The sequence below is a fragment of the Homo sapiens genome, chromosome 16 (genome assembly GCF_000001405.40).
Source record: "Homo sapiens chromosome 16, GRCh38.p14 Primary Assembly".
Lineage (NCBI taxonomy): Eukaryota > Metazoa > Chordata > Mammalia > Primates > Hominidae > Homo > Homo sapiens.
In genome coordinates, this window is record NC_000016.10 from 4,049,415 (window position 1) to 4,068,291 (window position 18,877).

At 43.9% G+C, this 18,877-nt stretch overlaps 1 protein-coding gene and 1 long non-coding RNA gene across 4 annotated transcripts in view, besides 1 other annotated feature; both read right to left on the minus strand.

Moving 5' to 3' along the window:
- ADCY9 (adenylate cyclase 9) overlaps positions 1 to 18,877 on the minus strand; it is a 163,056-nt gene that overhangs the window by 96,028 nt on the left and 48,151 nt on the right. The window lies entirely within an intron of this gene.
- On the minus strand, positions 858 to 5,206 carry LOC124900373 (uncharacterized). Its single transcript, XR_007064957.1, has 2 exons — positions 4,621 to 5,206; positions 858 to 4,407 (listed from the first exon to the last, which is right to left on the minus strand). It is a non-coding gene; the product is annotated as an uncharacterized LOC124900373 (long non-coding RNA).
- Positions 10,249 to 10,749: an enhancer, noted in NCBI's record as "H3K27ac hESC enhancer chr16:4109664-4110164 (GRCh37/hg19 assembly coordinates)". NCBI's record gives its function as "activates a minimal SCP1, AML or CMV promoter by ChIP-STARR-seq in naive H9 embryonic stem cells {active_cell/tissue: H9 hESC(naive)}" and the evidence as "EXISTENCE:reporter gene assay evidence [ECO:0000049][PMID:30033119]".

Sequence of the window (18,877 nt, forward strand, 5' to 3'; positions counted from 1 at the left end):
TCTCAGACCAGACCAAGACCCTAGCCGAGCCCAAGGATGCTGGCTAATCAAATAGTAAACACCTTTGGCCAGATTATCCTTAAAAAGTCTCTGGAATGTCACCTTCAGTCTCTGTAGTCTACTTTCTAACATACTTCTGAGCCGAAACCACGTGAAAAGATTTTTCTTCTGACTACAAGGCAGAACAATAAAAGTGACCCTCTGAGTCAAAAACACCACATGAAACTCACCTCCCGCCTCCAACCCATCCCTTCCGCATCCTTCATGTCCACCGTCCCTTTACCAACAACCAGCTGATTCTTCCAGACTTCAAAATCTTTCAGATTAACCCAGAAATATCGATAAGGGAGGCCTTTTTCTTAGCTTATGTTGTATATGTTTTTCTGTTTAGGCTACTGCTATAAAGAACTATCCACCAGCCTGGGCAACAAGGTAAGACCGACCCTGTTTCTACAAAAAATACAAAAGTAGACGGGCATGATGGTGTACACCTGTAGTCCCTGCTACTCAGGAAGCTAGGGTGGGAGGACTGCTTGAACCCAGGAGTTAGTGGCTGCAGTGAGCCGAGATCACACCACTATACTCCAGCCTGGGTGACAGAGTGAGACTGTGTCTCAAAAAAAAAAAAAGAACTATCCCGAGAGTCCACTGTTGGGGGCCGAAGTGGGGGTGGGGACCCTTGGCTGCCATGTTCCTGGGCCAGGAACATGGACTGGATGGCCTGCATGTCAGAAGACTGGTGACATACAAGGGTCAATAAATAAAAACAGTTAATATGATAAGAGCTGTTACTGTTATTGTTAGAAAAGAGGGGCACAGCCAAGGAAAGGGGAGAAAGCTGAAACAAACCATTTGACTTGGATGGTATCATGATTTTTATATGAGATGAATGGATACATAGATACGAGCGGGACAGATGGATACAAAGAACTACAAACGCATGTGTGCCCGTGTGTGTATGTACAAACATATGTGTACGTGTAGGGAAGTACATGCATATGTTTAATTTCCTAGCTATGCCAGGCGCGGTGGCTCATGCCTGTAATCCCAGCACTCTGGGAAGCCAAGATGGATGGGTCACCTGAGGTCAGGAGTTTGAGACCCAGCCTGACCAACATGGTGAAACCCCGTCTCTACTAAAAATACAAAATTAGCCGGACGTGGTGGCGCATGCCTGTAATCCCAGCTACTAGGGAGGCTGAGGCAGGAGAACTGCTTGAACCGGGAGGCAGAGGTTGCGGTGAGCCAAGTTCCTGCCACTGCATGCCAGTCTTGGCAACAAGAGTGAAACTCCGTCTCAAAAAAAAAAAAAAAAAAAAAAAATTCCTAACTACGCTGCTTGAGAAGTCCTTGTAGCCGTAATAGCCCAGTAGCGTGAACACACCTAATACTTAGATCCTGGTTTCTAAAAACCACTTTCTACTAAAAGGAACCAGGGCTTATTGGAGAAATGGCTGATTCCAGGGCTGGAGCAAGGAAAGTTCCGGGTGAGCCTAGAACCAAGAACTAAACATGTGGCCGGGAGCAGTGGCTCACACCTGTCATCCCAGCACTTTGGGAGGACGAGGCAGGCAGATCACCTGAGGTTACAAGTTGGAGATCAGCCTGGCCAACATGGTGAAACCCCATCTCTACTAAATATACAAAAATTAGCTGGGTGTGGTGGCGCACGCCTGTAATCCCAGCTACATGGGAGGCTGAGGCAGGAGAATTGCATGGACCCAGGAGGCAGAGGTTTCAGTGAGCCATGATCACGCCATTGCACTCCAGCCGGGGCAACAGAGTGAGATTCCATCTCAAAAAAAACAAAAACAAAAACGAAAAAACCTGGCCAGGCATGGTGGCTCTCACCTGTAATCCCAACACTTTGGGAGGCTGAGGCAGGCAGATCACGAGGTCAGGGGATTGAGACCATCCTGGTTAACACAGTGAAACCCCGTCTCTACTAAAAATACAAAAATTAGCCGGGCGTGGTGGCGGGCGCCTGTAGTCCCAGCTACTCGGGAGACTGAGGCGGGAGAATGGCGTGAACCCGGGAGGCGGAGCTTGCAATGAGCAGAGATCACGCCACTGAACTCCCACCTGGGCAACAGAGCAAGACTCCATCTAAAAAAAAAAAAAAAAGAAGAAGAAGTAAAGATGTGCTCAAAGAATGACATGAACACATCAAAAGAACACAGGGGCCAGCTTGGAGGCGCTGCTTTTGGCCAAATCTGGGACAATCTGGGTATCGAAGCAAATGATAATGGTAATGAATTATAACCCAATGGGTAAAATAGGAGTCTATGAGTGTATTGATAGGAAGGAGAGAAAGACAGCAGGCAAGCTCCAGCTTGCAGTGGAATGCCAACTAATCAATGCAAAAGAAACAATGCAACTAGAAACATCACCATTTGGCAATGCTCATACTAATTCCCTCAGGCAAGAATCATCCCAGGATGCTAAAACAAATGGGCAAAAAGCTTAATGAGAAACAGGATATTTTCCGAGTCCCCAAAAAATCTCCCCACCAGAAACAGTACTTTTTAACTGATAATTACAAAATACCAACAAATTAATTTTACAGTGGAGAAACCTGGTAGACACCACCTCAACCAAATGATAAGTTAACTTCTCCAGAAATGGGACTGATCAGACCTGTGTGCGTTCCTGTCGTGACAACCCTGCAGGGACTCTCCTGCCAGGAACCTACCACCTGATTCTCATCATGAAGGAATATGAGACCAGCCCAAACCGAGGGACATTCTACAAAGTAACTGGCCTGTTCTCTTAAAAAAATGTCAAGGTCGTGAAAGACAGAGACGAAGGAACAGCCCCAGATTGAAGGAGACTCGAGAGCCATTGACACAGACGGCGCCTGTGGTCCTGGGCGGGCTCCGGGGCCTCTGCATTTGGTGGCATGGTGTGACAGTGCCCACGTCCTGATTTGGGCAGGTCGGTGCAGGCTATCCGGGACAGCGTCCTTGTTTTTAGGAAACCCACACAGGAGAATCTAGAGGCACTCTCTGCAGTCTATTCTCAAATTATTCCGGAAAAAAGGGATGTGTGTATGTGGAGAGACAGACAGACAAACATGTCGGAATGTTAATTCAGGGAATCTGGGTGAAGAGTATTTGGGAATTCTTTATACTGTTTGGGAGCATCTCTGTAAATTTAAACTTACTTCAAAATTAGAATATAACGCCACCAAAACCCCCTCTATCACTCACTCCGCATTCCTAGATAACAACTAGTGTGGAATTCTGTTCTTTGAATCACTAGATATCAACTAGCGTGTAACTCTGTTGTTTGAAGCCACCTGGTTTGAGGTACTTTGGTACAGTAGCCCTAGGAAATAAATATGCTACTCAAAGAATATTGAATGTGGCTTTTTCTACAATACTAAAATCTGACCTACCATGTTAACTTAGTAAGGCAAACTGCTGGGGCGGGGTCCCGTTTCAGCCGAACGCATCTGACAATGCCTTAAGTCACACATTGCATAATCACAAGTTGCTTCTTGACATGAGCGGCTCTTCAAGTGCACGGGGAACAACAGATTCTTTGTCAGGGACTCACAAGAGTCACATGCTGTTATTCTTTTCTCCTTAAGAGACAAACTGATTTTTTAATCACTGAGAGCCTATTACATGCGTGGCATAGTTTTAAGATGTTTTGACATGTCACACGTAAACGATAGTAAACATGTCTTGGAAGAGGGGCTAAGATGTGGGACGAACGTGATTATTCAATGGGCATGCGCTTCCGGCCACGCATCACACGCACATACACCAGCGCGGTTATCCATAACTCTACCATTTCAAGTGAGCCGCAAGAGACTGTAAATCGCAGTGAAGTGGGCCGTCAGGCAATGATTACTAAATAAGCATGGGAAACATCTAAGATTAACAGTGAAGAGAGAAGATGCGTTTGGAATGGAATCCTGGAGACAGTTAAGTTACCAGGTGCTTTCACAGTCGTTTTTTCAAATTCAGTCACTGAGACATAAAATAATATTGATCTTTGAGAAGAGCTCTCGACGGAAACAGCAGTTGGCAGTGTCCCCAGAGCACTTGCCCTTCCTCTGGAGCGCTTCACGTGCGAGCCCGCCGTCTATTTATAACAGTTGGGCACTTGTCGCCACAATGGCTGATTGTGTGGCCCAGCTGTCTGTGTCTATCAAGAAGGGCAGGAGTGGACAGCCTGCACTTTGATGTTTCCCTTTTTTGGAGACTGAAAATAACATTTTTAAAAAACTGCCAACCGGCAAGGTCACAAAATATTTTTGGATGGCACGGGGACCCGATTGCAAAGCTGTGGTTCACATCAGATGCGGAGGCCTGGGACGCAGCCAGTGAGCCCCATTGCACAATATCCTGCTCATGCCAACTTCAAAAGTTATTTGCCTCGGAGAGCTCCCAGACGACTCTTTCTCGGTAATAAAACACAGCATTTTAGAAATTTGCAAGGGTCTTCTGGATAGGGCATTACCCAGAGGAGCAAGGATTTCCCTGGCCACTCTGGTTACAGTTGCAACCAGCAGCCCCAGGCCTCTTGCCACCCTTGCCCCGCCCCACCCCACATCCCTCACCCCCACTCCACAAACTCCTGCCCTTCCCTGATGAGCTCTCAAGCACTTACCAGCGACACGCTACATATTTTTCTAATGCATGTGTCAATTTCTTGACTCGCCCATTCTATTATAGATGGCTCACGAAAGCAGGATTAGCGTCTGTTTTGTTCACTGATGCAACCACAGAGCCGAGAATAGTGCCTGGCTCACAATATTTACTGAGTGCATACTTGTGGAATTAATTAATTTAAATAGCAGAGACAATGGGATCAGGAAACACATGGAAATACCGATGACCAGTATTAGATGTCAGGGTTCTGTCGCCCTTCCCTCCGCCCCCGACGAAGATCCCAGCTTTGTTTACATATTTGTGGTGCACAAAAATAGAAATGGACTAAACAAAATTCCCGATTTTCCCAAACTGTGGTGGATTGCAGAAACCAAGACTTCGCAGGGCTCGGTTCTGAAATGATTTTCACTCAAACCATCTTCCTGAAACTCTTCCTATTACTCTCTGCCCATTTCGCAAACCTTCTTGCTGGAGGTATTAGATACGGGAAGCACCTGTAGTAATCAACAAGTATGGCTCTGATTAAATGGATTTTTTTCTTTTTTTTTTTTTGAGACGGACTCTCGCTCTGTCACCCAGGCTGGAGTGCAGTGGCACAATCTCGGCTCACTGCAAGCTACGCCTCCCGGGTTCAAGCAATTCTCCTGCTTCAGCCTCCCGAGTAGCTGGGACTACAGGTGCCCGCCACCATGCCCGGCTAATTTTGTATTGTTAGTAGAGACGGGTTTCACTGTGTTAGCCAGGATGGTCTAAATCTCCTGACCTCGTGATCCACCTGCCTCGACCTCCCAAAGTGCTGGGATTACAGGTGTGAGCCACTGTGCCCAGCCGAAATGGATATTTTGAAAATCATCAAGTTATACAAAAGAATCCCACATGCTGTACAACACCACTCGAGATTTTAGGGTTTTTGCGGGTTTTACATCAGTAGATCATGAAACCCTGACTCTTTAATTATTATGTAAATGAAATTCAACAACACACTCACACCTCAAAAACTCTGGAAGGTCAGAAAGAGGCAGAGAGCAGGGCCCCCGCGGAAGGGGAGGCACACAAGGCAGACAGAGGCAGAGGAGGTGGGAGTACAGGCCCCAGCACTGTGGTAGCCAACAGCAGAGCCATTCTTCCACACCGGGAAGGGCCCCCAGGCCTCAGGAAGCCAGCTCTATTCAGCAGATTTCACAAGTGAAAAAGCCTTTTTAGATGTCTTTTGGGGTCAGGCGTGGTGGCTTACACCTGTAATCCCAGTACTTTGGGAGGCTGAGGCGAGCAGATCACTTGAGGTCAGGAGTTCAAGACCAACCTGGCCAACATGGTGAAACCCTGTCTCTACTAAACATACAAAAAATTAGCTGGGCATAGTGGCACACACCTATAATCCCAGCTACTCGGGAGGCTGAGACAGGAGAATTGCTTGAACCCAGGAGGTAGAGGTTGCAGTGAGTCAAGATCAGGCCATTGTACTCCAGCCTGGGCAGCAGAGCAAGACTCTGTCTCAAAAAGGAAAAAAAAAAAGGCCAGACGCGGTGGCTCACACCTACAATCCCAGCACTTTGGGAGGCCGGGGTGGGGGGATCACGAGGTCAGGAGATCGAGACCATCCCGGCTAACACGGTGAAACCCCGTCTCTACTAAAAATACAAAAAAATTAGCCAGGCGTGGCGCCGGGCGCCTGTAGTCCCAGCTACTTGGGAGGCTGAGGCAGGAGAACGGCATGAACCCAGAAGGCAGAGCTTGCAGTGAGCCGAGATGGTGCCACTGCACTCCAGCGTGGGCGACAGAGCGAGGATCCGTTTCAAAAAAAAAAAAAGATACCTTTTGGGAACAATTCCCCAGCAGAACAAAGGTGCCACTTCTAAGTATGAGGAATTCCTTATCAAAGATGCCTGAGCCTGCAAGACAGCTCCCACAAGTACAAGCGCTGCAACGACTGGGTGACTGCGCGTCTCTGGCAAGCGGTTTTGAAGCCACTTCCTTAGCTCCCATAGACAGGCAGTGCTGGAAACACACATGCAGGGAGCTCCCAGCCGGTGTTGTGCGATACAGAACCCGAAAGCTGCGCCCTCCCCGCAAGGAGGTTGTCTATAGAAAATTCTGTGACATCAGGATTCTTCAATAATCTCTTCAACATCAGCTCTCAACATATTTATAGAAGATCTCCAGGCCCAGCAGTTTTCCTACCTGTGCAAAATGCTGTGGCTTCAAAGTAATGTTTTGTTGTGTTTTGTTTTGTTTTTGAGACGAGTCTCACTCTGTCATCCAGGCTGGAGTGCAGTGATGCAATCTCAGCTCACTGTAACCTCCGCTCCCGGGCTCCAGGGATTCTCCTGCCTCAGCCTCCCAAGTAGCTGGGACGATAGGCGTGCACCACCACACTTAGGTAATTTTTGTATTTTTAGTAGAGATGGTGTTTCACCATGTTGGCCAGGCTGGTCTGAAAATGCTGACCTCAAGTGATCCACCCACCTCGGCCTCCCAGAGTGCTGGGATTACAGCCGTGAGCCACCACACCCAGCCAAAGTAAATTTAAAAGGGGCTTTCGTCCTCCTAGGAGTCAGAATCAGTCCTCACTGTAAGAAGCAGAATTCTAACCTCAAAACTGGTCTCCTGGGAACACTGGAAAGCAGTGCGTGATCCGAAGGGGCAGAAATGACTGACACTCTCAAATTCCCCTCTGCATCATGGGCACTCAGCACTGTGCCTAGTGCATAGTAAGACTTCAACAAATATGTGCTGTTGTTATAATTCGGCATGACGATGGAGGTGCAGAGGTTTACCTGTGTTTTTATTATCTCTGGTTGACAAGGCGGCCACACCCAGGTTGCCTGTTCTGAAGCTGTCTCAAGACAGTGACCATCACCCAGGCTGAGGTCCAGGATGATGTGAGTGCAAATTGCTAAAGCTCTCCTTCAGGTGCCAGGCCTGCCATGACACATGGCGAGTCCTAGCAGAGGTCAGACCAACAACTCAGTTCTTTCAGGTAACCTGTACTGATGAAACCGCCCCCCCCCCCCCCGCCAATCTTACTCTTCTGTTATTTCATGTCTATGAAGGGTTTTGGCATAAAAAAAACAAAAAGCCTCATTTTAAAAAAATCTACAATTGTTTAGGTTTTTGTTTAAAGAGAAGCGTCTGGTTCTGTTGCCTAGGCTGGAGTGCCGTGGTGCAATCTCGGCTCACTGCAGCCTCCAACCCCTGGCCTCAAGCAATACTCCTGCCTCAGCTTCCTGAGTAGCTGGGACTGTCCATCTTTTTTTTAATAACAGCTTTATTGAGATATAATTCACATACCGTACAATTCATCTGTTTCCAGGGTACAATTCAGTGGTGTCTAGCATATTCACACAGGGCTGTGCAACCATCACCACCATCAACCTAGAACACTTTCATCACCCCAGAAAGAAACTCCGCACCCGGCTGCAGTGACACCATCATCCTGGCTTATTGTCGTTTGTCCGCCGGCCACCGTTCTGTCTCTGTTTCTTTCCCAACACCAGCCTCTCTTTTCACGCACTATCTCCCCGCCAGCCCTGCTCCCTGCATTCTGTAGGAAATGCTTGGCTCCTACAGTGGTTGACGAATACCAAAGCTTCTGTGAGCACGCCAGAGGGCCCCCACAAAGCTCTCTCCTCTGTCTGAAACATTACTCTGAAGGAGTGATTTCTTGTTCATTCTGAATAAGGATGACGACACCAGGAAGCGGAGGCCCGGGGAGCATTTACGGCGTGTTCTCGATGTGTGAGCACTGTGGCCAGCACGTTCCAACCCAGTGCTGCAAGAGTTGCTCCCAGCCCCACTTCAGAGATGAGAAAACCAAGGCCCAGGGAACCCAAGGTCACAAAGGACTCTAAGAAGGAGAGTTGAGTAATCCCAGCACTTTGGGAGGCCAAGGTGGGCAGATCGCTTCAGGTCAAGAGTTCGAGACCAGCCTGGCCAACATAGTGAAACCCCATCTCTACTAAAAATACAAAAATTAGCCAGGCGTGGTGGTGGGCACCTGTAATCCCAGCTACTTGGGAGGTCGAGGCAGAAGAATCGCTTGAACCCAGGAGGTGGAGGTTGCAGTGAGCCGAGATCATGCCACTGCACTCCAGCCTGAGTGACAGAGTGAGACTCTGTCTAAAAAAAAAAAAAAAGAGAGTTGAGGCTGGGCGCAGTGGCTCATGCCTGTAATCCCAACACTTTGGGAGGCCAAGGTGGCAAGATCACTTGAGGTCAGGGGTTCAAAACCACCCTGGCCAACACGGTAAAACCCCCGTCTCTACTAAAAATACAAAAATTAGCCAGGCATGGTGGCGTGCACCTGTAGTACCAGCTACTCAGGAGGCTGAGGCAGGAGAATCACTTGAACCTGGGAGGCAGAGGTTGCAGTGAGCCAAGATCGCCCCACTGCACTCCAGCCTGGGAAACAGAGAAACTCTTGTCTCCAAGAAAAAAAAAAAAAAAAGAAGAAGAATTGAAATTTGAACTCCAAGCAATGTGACACCAGAGCTCAGGCCCGGAACCCCATGCTACACTGACTCTTGTTGAGAGAACACTCCAAGATGTAATCATGCCTACAATGACGTTGCAGGGGGAAGTGACTGATCCACTACTTTCCTGGAGAACCTGGGAAGGTATGTGTGATCAGGAGGATAAAAGGCCAGGGAACAAGAAAACTGCAGAGAGGAGACCCAGCAGGCAAGATGCTGCAAAAGGTGCAGCGGAACTGAGTCCACCGAGGAGCTAAAAATCCCTCCGTCTTAGAATTCTGTCCTTGCCAGGAAAGGGCTCCTCATCTCCTGATTGCTAATTAACTTTATCTCCTTGAATCAAGGGAGCTAAAGGAAGTCTCTGAATTAGAAACCTTTGTGGTGAGGGGTAAAGGAACTTTGGTAAGAGGATATAATCAAAAATATGATGATTAAAGAAAGATGATTAAAGCTTGGAAAGCAAGTCACTAACTTATTAACAGTGGCTATCTTTAAGGGATGGGATTAGTAAAGATTTTCATTTCCATTTTATACATTTCTATATTGCCAAATTTTACAACAAGCTTATAGTACTTAGAAAGTTGGAAGAAAAACCGGCCGTGCACGATGGCTCACGCCTTTAATCCCAGCACTCTGGGAGGCCGAGGTGGGCAGATCACCTGAGGTCAGGAGTTCGAGACCAGCCTGGCCAACATGATGAAACTCCATCTCTACTAAAAAATACAAAAATTAGCTGGTGGCGGGTGCCTGTAATCCCAGCAACCTGGGAGGCTGAGGCAGGAGAAGTGCTAGAACCTGGAAGGCAGAGGCTGCAGTGAGCCGAGATCATGCCACTGCACTCCAGCCTGGGCGACACAGCGAGAATCCATCGAAAAAAAAAAAAAAAGAAAAAAAAAGAAAGAAAGAAAGTTAGAAGAAAAAACCAAAAAGATGACCTGGGGAGAGGGGAAGAACTTCTGGAATAATGAAGTGAGAAGCTTGGCAAAACCTCTCCTCAAAAAGTAACAACAAAACTAGACAAGTCGGTCAAAAACAACCACCACAGGGTTGGAAATCAACCAAAGACATACAAAAAATTGAAAAATGTTTATTCAAGAAAAACTACGCAGCTGGGCATGGTGGCTCCCACCTGCAATTGTAGCACTTTGGGAGGCCGAGGCAGGAGGATTGCTTGAGGCTGGGAGTCAGAGACCAGCCTGGGCAACATATCAAGACCCCGTCTCAACGAAAAACAAAAAAGTCAGCCTGGCGTGGTGATGCACACCTGTAGTCTCAGCCACTCAGGAGGCTGAGGTGGGAAAATCTCTTGAGCCTGGGAGCTTGAGGTTACAGTGAACTATGATTGTGCCACTGCACGCCAGCTTGAGTGACAGAGGAAGGCCTCATCTCAAGAATTAAAAAATAAAATGAAGAAGAAAAATGACCAAATCTTGAGTTAGAGCGGTGGTGTTCTGTGATGCTTTGGCTTGAGGGGCTCCCCTCCTTCCCCTCAGCTCACCCATGCTGCTACATCTACCAGGGTGGGACGAGCTGTGAAAATTGGTGGCTCCACTGCTGGAGGGGTTGACTTGATTTGGAGGAGAGCACATGCCCAAAGGCACTGACATAAACCACGGTGATTTCCTGTAAACAACAGGAAATGTACAGAAGGTCAACATCTCAGCCACCCTGAGCCTGCAATGCCGGTTGTGGCAACCAACAGATCAGGAGACCAGCCAAAAACCTAGCCGGAAGATACAGAGAATAAGGGAGCTATCACGGGCAGTGGTAAAGTCCCTGAAGTCCCACACATTCTTCGTGCTCTGGAAGGCTGCACACAGGCAGGAAAGACTGAAGAGGGCCCTGGTTATCCACTCATCCTTGGCTAAAGTGAGGCCTACCCCACGCACAAAGGAGGCCAGAAAAGGCCTGGCAAAAAGGAAAAACCAAGACAGGCTCGTATAATATATGCCTGAATTCTGAACATGTCCCTAAACGTACACACATATCCACCGCAAACTGTGAAAAGCATTAGTAGCTCAAGGTGTTTCAGCACACCTCTGAATAATCATTGCCTGACCACTAAGCTATGCTGACCTGGGTTAACCCCTGCAAAGCCAGGCTTAAACACATTTTAAAAATAAGAAAAAAAAAATGAGCAGGATCATCAGCAGCTGCTACAGAGACAGACTTCACAGAATTAATCCAGGCAAGTCACAAACAAAAAGAAATAAACAACAAACCTGCATTTTGCCAAAGGTGATCATAATCCAGAGTTGCTACAACGTATTAACTAAAATACAGAGCTTAAAAAAATAAAATATAAGACATGCAAAGAAACATAAAGTATTGTGAATTATACTCAGGCAAGAGTCATAACTGGAAACTCTAAGGGGGCCCAGATATTGGACTTAACAAAGATTTCAAAGTTATAAGAAACTACTGTAAGAATGGAACTGAAGGAATTCATGTTTAAAGAACTAAAGGAAAGTATGTAACAATGACTCATCAAATAGAGAATACTAATAAAGAGACAGAAATTATAAAAAGAAACCAAACAGAAATTCTAGAGTTCAAAAGTATAATAACTGTAATGAAAAGTTCACTAGAGGGGCTCAACAACAGAGTTGACATGGGAGAAGAAAGAATCAGTGAACTTAAAATTATCCAATCTGAAGAAGAAATAAAAAAGCATAAAGAAAAATAAAAAGAACCTCAGAAACACAGGGATACCATCAAGCATGCCAACATATATATAAAGGAAGTTTCAAAAGAAAACGAAGCAAAAGGAAGCAGAAAAAATTTTTTGAAAAACTAATGGCATAAACTTCTCACATTTGATTTTAAAAAATTAATGTTCACATCCAACAAACTCAAAGTAAGCTCAAAAAACTCCAACTCAATAAAGTGAGCCACCATGACACATCATAGCCAAACTGCTGGAAGCCAAAAACAAAGAGAAAATCTTGACTGCATGAAGACAAAATGGTTCTTCATGAAAAGGAGCACTACCATAAGATTAACAGCTGACTTCACGTTAGAAATTAACAGAGACCAGAAAACAGTAAAATGACATATTCAAAGCACTGAAAGAAAAACTTCCAATCAAGAATTCCATATCCATCAAAACCATACCCCAAAACTAACAAGTAGAAATAAAGATATTCCTAGATAAACAAAGACAGAAAATTTGTTACTGGCAGACCCTACTTACAAGAAATACTAAAGGAAGCCCTTCAAGATGAAAGAAAAAAACACCAGATTATATCCTGAATCCACATGAAGAAATAAAGAATGCTAGTAATACTAATTACATAGGCAAATATACAGCAGATTTATAAATAGTCTCTTTTTTACACTTAACTGATTTAAAAGACAAGTACATATAACAATAACTACAGACTTTTACTACTGGGCTTATGACATACAAAGATATCATATACATGACATAATACCACAGAGGAGGTAGATAGACATAGACATTTAATGGAACAAAGTTTCTATATTTTATTGAAAATGAATTAGCATTAATCTACAGTAGACTGTGAGCTCTAGGCACAGTGGCTCATGCCTGTAATCCCAGCACTTTGGGAGGCTGAGATGGAAGGATCACTTGAATCCAGGAGTTTGAAACCAGCCTGGGCAACATGGCAAAACCCCATCTCTACTTTTTAAAAGCTATATATAGATCTTTAAAAAGTAGACTGTGATGAGATGCATATTGCAATCCTTAGAGTAACCACTAAAAATATAACCAAAAAATATTAAAAACCTCACCAAACAGATGAAAACAGAACACTAGAAAATATCTATTTAACACAAAAGAAAACAGTAAGGAGAAACAGAACAAAAAGATGTGAGACAGAGAAAACATAGCAAAATGTTAGATGTAATCCAAGCATATCAATAATTGCATTAAATGTAAATGGATTAAACACTCCAATAAAAGGTGAAGACTGTCAGATTAAATTTTTTAGAAGTTCTAACCATGTGCTGTCTGCAAGAGATGCAGATGGAGAAAAATGTACTATGCAAACAAAACCATAAGAAAGTTGCAGTGGCTATAATAATATCAAAGTAAGTATGGGAGGCTGTGGCAGGTGGATTGCTTGAGTACAGGAATTCAAGGTTATAGTGAGCTATGATTGTGCCACTGCACTCCAGCCTGGGTGACAGAGTGATACCCTGTCTCAAAACAAACAAACAAAAACACAAAAAAATCCCACAGACTGAATAAACTTTAAGACAAAAAAGTTATAAGAGAAAAAGAAATTTTGTAACAATAAAAGGGTCAACTCATGAGGAATATATAAAAACATAAATACATAAGCACTTAATAGCAGAGCACAAAATACAATAAAGCAAACACTGACTGAACCAAAGGGAGAAATAGGCAATTCACAATAATGTTTGGAGACTTCAATATCCCACTCTCAATAATTGACATAATAGTTAAACAGAAAATCAGCAAGGATATACAGACTTTGAACAGCATTGTCAACCAACCTGACGTAACTAACATCTGTAGACCATGTCAAGCAACAACAAATAGAATATATATTCTTTTCAAGTGTACATATCGCATTGTCTAGAATGAATCATGGGCTAGGTCATAAAACAAGTATCAATAAATTTAAAAGAATTAAAATCATATAAAGCATGTTCTCTACCAAAATGAAATTTTTAAAAATCAAGAACAGAAATAAATTTGTGGACTCCCCAACTACTTAGAAATTAGAAAACATATCTAAAGGATTCAAAGGTCAAAGAAGAAATCACAAGGGAAGTTTAAAAATACTTCAAACTGGATGAAAAGAAAAACACAGCAGATCAAAATTTAGGATGCAGCTATGAGAAGTACTTAGGGAGAAATTTATAATGTTAAAAGCCTGTATCAGGAAAAAAAAAAGAAAAGTCTCAAGTTAATAAACTGAGCATCAGCAGGGAACAGTGGCTCACACCTGTAATCTCAACACTTTGGAAGGCCAAGCTGGGACGATCGCTCAAGCCCAGGAGTTGAAGAAGAGCCTTGGTAATATAGTGAGACCCTGTGTCTACAAAAAATAAAAATAAAAATTAGCTGGCCCAATGGTACACACCTGTAGCCTCAGCTCCTTGGGGGGCTGAGGTGAGAGAATCTCTTGAGCCTGGAAGGTGGAAGCTGCAGTGAGCCAGTATCGCACCACTGCACTCCAGCCTGGGCCACGGGGCGAGATCATGTCTCAAAAAAAAAAAACACAAACCTGAGTTTCCACCTTAAGAAACTATAAAAAGGAGAGTAAACTAAATCCCAAAAAAAGCAGAAGGAAGGCAATAATAAATACTAGACCAGAAATCAATGAATTAGGGAAAGTAATAGAGAAAACTGATGAAACCAAAAGTTGGTTCTTTGTTCAGAAACAAAACAAGGATGTCTACTCTCACCATTTCTACTCAACATTGTACTGGAGGTGCTATCCAGAACAATAAGGCAGGAAAAAGAAATTTAAAAGACACAGATTGGAAAACAAGTAAAACTCTTCATATTCACTAGCTCTATATATAGAAAATCTTCAGGAGTCTACAAAAAACTACTAGAACTAATAAGCAAGTTTAACATGTTCATAAGATACAAAATCAATATCAGGAAATCAACTGTTTTGTGTATACCAGCAATGAACAATCCAAAAACAAAATTAAGAAATAATTCCATTTGTAATAGCATCAAAATTAGTAAGTTAAAATTACAAAACTTTGTTGATACATTAAATAATATCTAAATAAATGTAAGGAGATACCAGGTTCTTGGATTGAAGGACTCAGTATTGTTAAGATGGCATTTCTTCCCAAATTGATCAACAGATTCAACAAGACCCAGCAAGCTTTTTGTAGAAATTAACAAGAAAGGTTATGAGTGGGTAACTGAAGCTGGGTAACGTGTACCTGAGAGTTGATTATACTACTCTCTTCACTTTTGTTTATGTTTGAAATCATCCATAATAAAGTGTTGTTTTTTGTTTTTGAGAGACAGGGTCTCACTCTGTCACTCGGGCTGGAGTACAATGGCACAATCAGAGCTCACTGCAGCCTCAGTTTCCTGGGCTCAAGCAATCCTCCCACCTCAGTCTCCCCATTAGCTGGGACTCCAGGTGGGTACCACTATGCCCAGCTAATTTTTTTAATTTATTTGTTTATAGAGACAGGGTCTCACCATGTTGCCCAGGCTGGTCTCAAACTCCTGGACTCAAGCAATCCTCCCACCTGGACCTCCCAAAGTGCTGGGATCACAGGCATGAGCCACTACATTTGGCCAGCAACGTGGTTTTTGTTTGCTTACAAAAAAAAAAGAAGACTACACAAAAGAAAAAAATGTACAACTAATTCAAGGGCTGCCTTAATTATTCCTCACTCTTTACCCTCGGCCCACATCATTTCCCTACAGGCTGATCCTTGCCCAGTCCACTCCTGATTCATGGCTGGTGAATAGGTGAGGGAGGAAAATGGAGAGAGCGAATACACAGAGTGACAGAGGGAGGAGAAGTGAAAGGTCATAGGCATTCGCTGCAGCCATGCCTGTAGTACGTCCATCACCAGGCTTCAATTTATAGCAGCTACATGACTGCGTGTGTCAATCTCTAACTGGCTCATGTGCCAGACCAGAAGCTACTATTGGAAAATGCCCCTCTCTCGTCATGTCGTTTGCACAGTAATTCACTTAGATCTGAACTGAGTACAAATGAGTGGTGCTCTAAGATCAAAGCACCAGGGTCTTTAAAATGATCTTCACTCTCCCCGCAACCTGCCCCGAACACGTGCATGCTCCTTTCACTTTCAATTCCAAACTGCACCCTTCTAACGCTGGCCGAAAGGGAAAGTAAGCCCTGTTTTCGTTTCCTTTCAAATACTTGATGCTTTCCAATTTTATTCCTATTTTCCCTAATGGAATAATACTTACTACTTGGAAAGCATCATTCATCTCCTCTCAAGATCCTCACAGCAACACCATGTTGCCAGAAGGGCAGGTGCGAAATCTGAAATAATGGCAGAAGTCGAATGTCGCACGTCAATGTACAGCCTCCCATCGAGGCCCATGGCTTTATTTTTATGTATTTATTTATTTATTGAGACGGAGTCTCACTCTGTCACCCAGGCTGCAGGGCAATGGCGCTATTTTGGCTCACTGCAACCTCCACCTCCCGGATTTAAGCAATTCTGCCTCAGCCTCCCGAACAGCTGGGATTACAGGCATGAGCCACCACACCTGGCTAATTTTTGTATTTTTAGTAGAGGCGGGGTTTCGCCATGTTGGCCAGGCTGATCTCGAACTCCTGACCTCAGGTGATCTGCCCGCCTCGGCCTCCCAAAGTCCTGGGATTACAGGCGCCCACTGCCACACCCGGCTCAGTTTTGTATTTTTAGTAGAGACTGGGTCTCACCATGTTGGCCAGGCTGGTCTCGAACTCCTGACCTCAGGTGATCTGCCCGCCTTGGCCTCCCAAAGTGCTGGGATTACAGGCGTGAGCCTCCGCGCCTGGACTAAGGCCCATGACTTTAGCAAGCGGGATGTTGTTTTCCACCTCCTGCTGCTGCCTCTTAAGGAACAGGGGCGCTTCTTCACCGCAGAGGAGACGGTTCTCCATTCTAGGAATGGGTATGAACTTGCCTGAATAGTCTATGATGGGCAATGGGGACGTTCCATCTACATCTCATTATGAAAATCCCCAAAAACCTTACAAAACCATATAATCGTGAAGTTTTAAGAAGTCTTAAATAGTTCTAATATATAATTCTCCACAAATCTTTTCTCTCTAAAAAACACTTATTTTTCTCATTTTGATATGCCACTTCAAAGCTTTTCCCACTCCTTGAGTATATTTACTTTTCTCTCTCCTCTCTCTAGTGACTGAGCAGTGATTTTACCTTTACCTATTTATTTAGAGATGGAGGTCTCACTCTGTTGCCCAGGCTGGAGTGCAGGGGCACGATCAGGGCTCACTGCAGGCTCCACCTCTCAGGTTCAAACAATCCTCCTACCTCAGCCTCCAGAGTAGCTTGGACCAAAGATGCATGTCACCACACCCAGCTAATGTTTTTATTATTTGTAGAAATGAGGTCTCGCTGTTGCCCAGGCTGGTCTCAAATGCCTGGGCTCAGGTGATCCTCCCGCCTCAGCCTCCCAAAGTGCTGGAATTATAAGTGTGAGCCACAGCTTCCCACTAACAATTTCACTTTTTAAAGAGATGGGTCATATTGTCCAGTAACATTTACATGAGATCCATGAAAAAAAAGTGAATATTATTCTTTAGAATAATAAACAATTCATATCACAAAATTAGCTTTAAAAGATTCCCGCTTGTAGGAGCTATTAGAATTTCAAAACTGCCCAGTTAAACATAACCTGGTTCATCCCAACGTTTTCATTTACATATAATTCAAAAAGATTTACTTTTCCATAAATTTCAAATGCTCTTCAGATGAAGGAAACATTCATCATTACATCAAAGCAAGTGCAACTTCAATACTAAATTTCCTGATCTTTTATACAATTAGACTGCAAGTGCTCATCTGAGACAGATTTAGAGAAAATTGCGGCTGATGCCCAGCTCTATGAAAGAGTTTTAAGAACTGAAATAACTTAAAAAAAATTAGAATCACAGAATGGGGGGAGATGAGAAAAAATTCATCCTAAATTAGAAATACGAACTCCTGCCCAAAGTGCAGGGTTTTTAAAAAATGGAATTGTTAAACAGATTGAAATAATATTTAGAAACAACACCAGCTCACAAGGGTAGTAAAATACTAATTCTTAAAATCGTTAAACAGATTGAAATAATGTTTGTCAATAACACCAGCTCACAAGGATAGTAAAATACTAATTCTTAAAATCCTCCCTCTTGCGCTATGCCTGCTTCTGAGTTGGCTGAGCAAGTTCCTTCCCTTCCCCAGGCTTCTAACAGTGAACATGATCTGGCAGCATTAGACACACCACAACTCCACTCCAGACCAAGATGGGTCTGGGTCAAACCCAGGACTTCTGCTTCAAATTAGGAGAGTTACCAAATTAAGACAATTCTGCCTCAACTGAGTCACCCTCCAGGGACAGCTGAGTCCATTTCCAGGGTAAGTACTGGGGTAGCTCTACCCACCCCAGAGAGATGTATTTTATGGTCTGTCCTAAACAGAACTGGACCCCCAGAGAAGTTCCGAGATCAGCACAGCCTGCAGCTGACCCTCGGGAGAGGGTCAATTCAGGGCATTTGCTGACCAAAAGGATGGATCTCCCTCACCGGGAGGTGGACTGCAACCTCCCAAACACTTTGCCACTGTAGCTAATGTGTGCAAACATTTACTTTGTGAATTTGTATCTTAGTAGCTTCACTAAGTCAGCAAAATCCAATCTCTGAATCTTTTTGTGGTGACTGAACTAACTCTATGTTGCACTTTTGGTGAAAAACTGCAACATAGAATTTAATTAATTCTTTAATTAAATGGGTTAAGGGAAAAACCGTGGCAATAATTTTTTTTTTCCTCTTTCACTTTTGGGATTTGAGGTCTTCAAATAAGTTTTTCTAATTGTAGGGAAAACAAAGTCTTTTAATAATTACCATTAATGATTTATAATTTAAGCAGTTTAGGAAATAAAAAATGCATAGAACATGATATTCTCATACCCAGACAAGCTCATATCCCACCTGCACCCCTTTACAGTCAAGGATGATTTTGCATCTCCTTTCCTCACTTAAGTGCCTTTTTTGCCAACTAGGATAACTCATATAATGAATTTTTGCCAACTAGGAAAACTCATATAATGGCTTTTTTTAAATC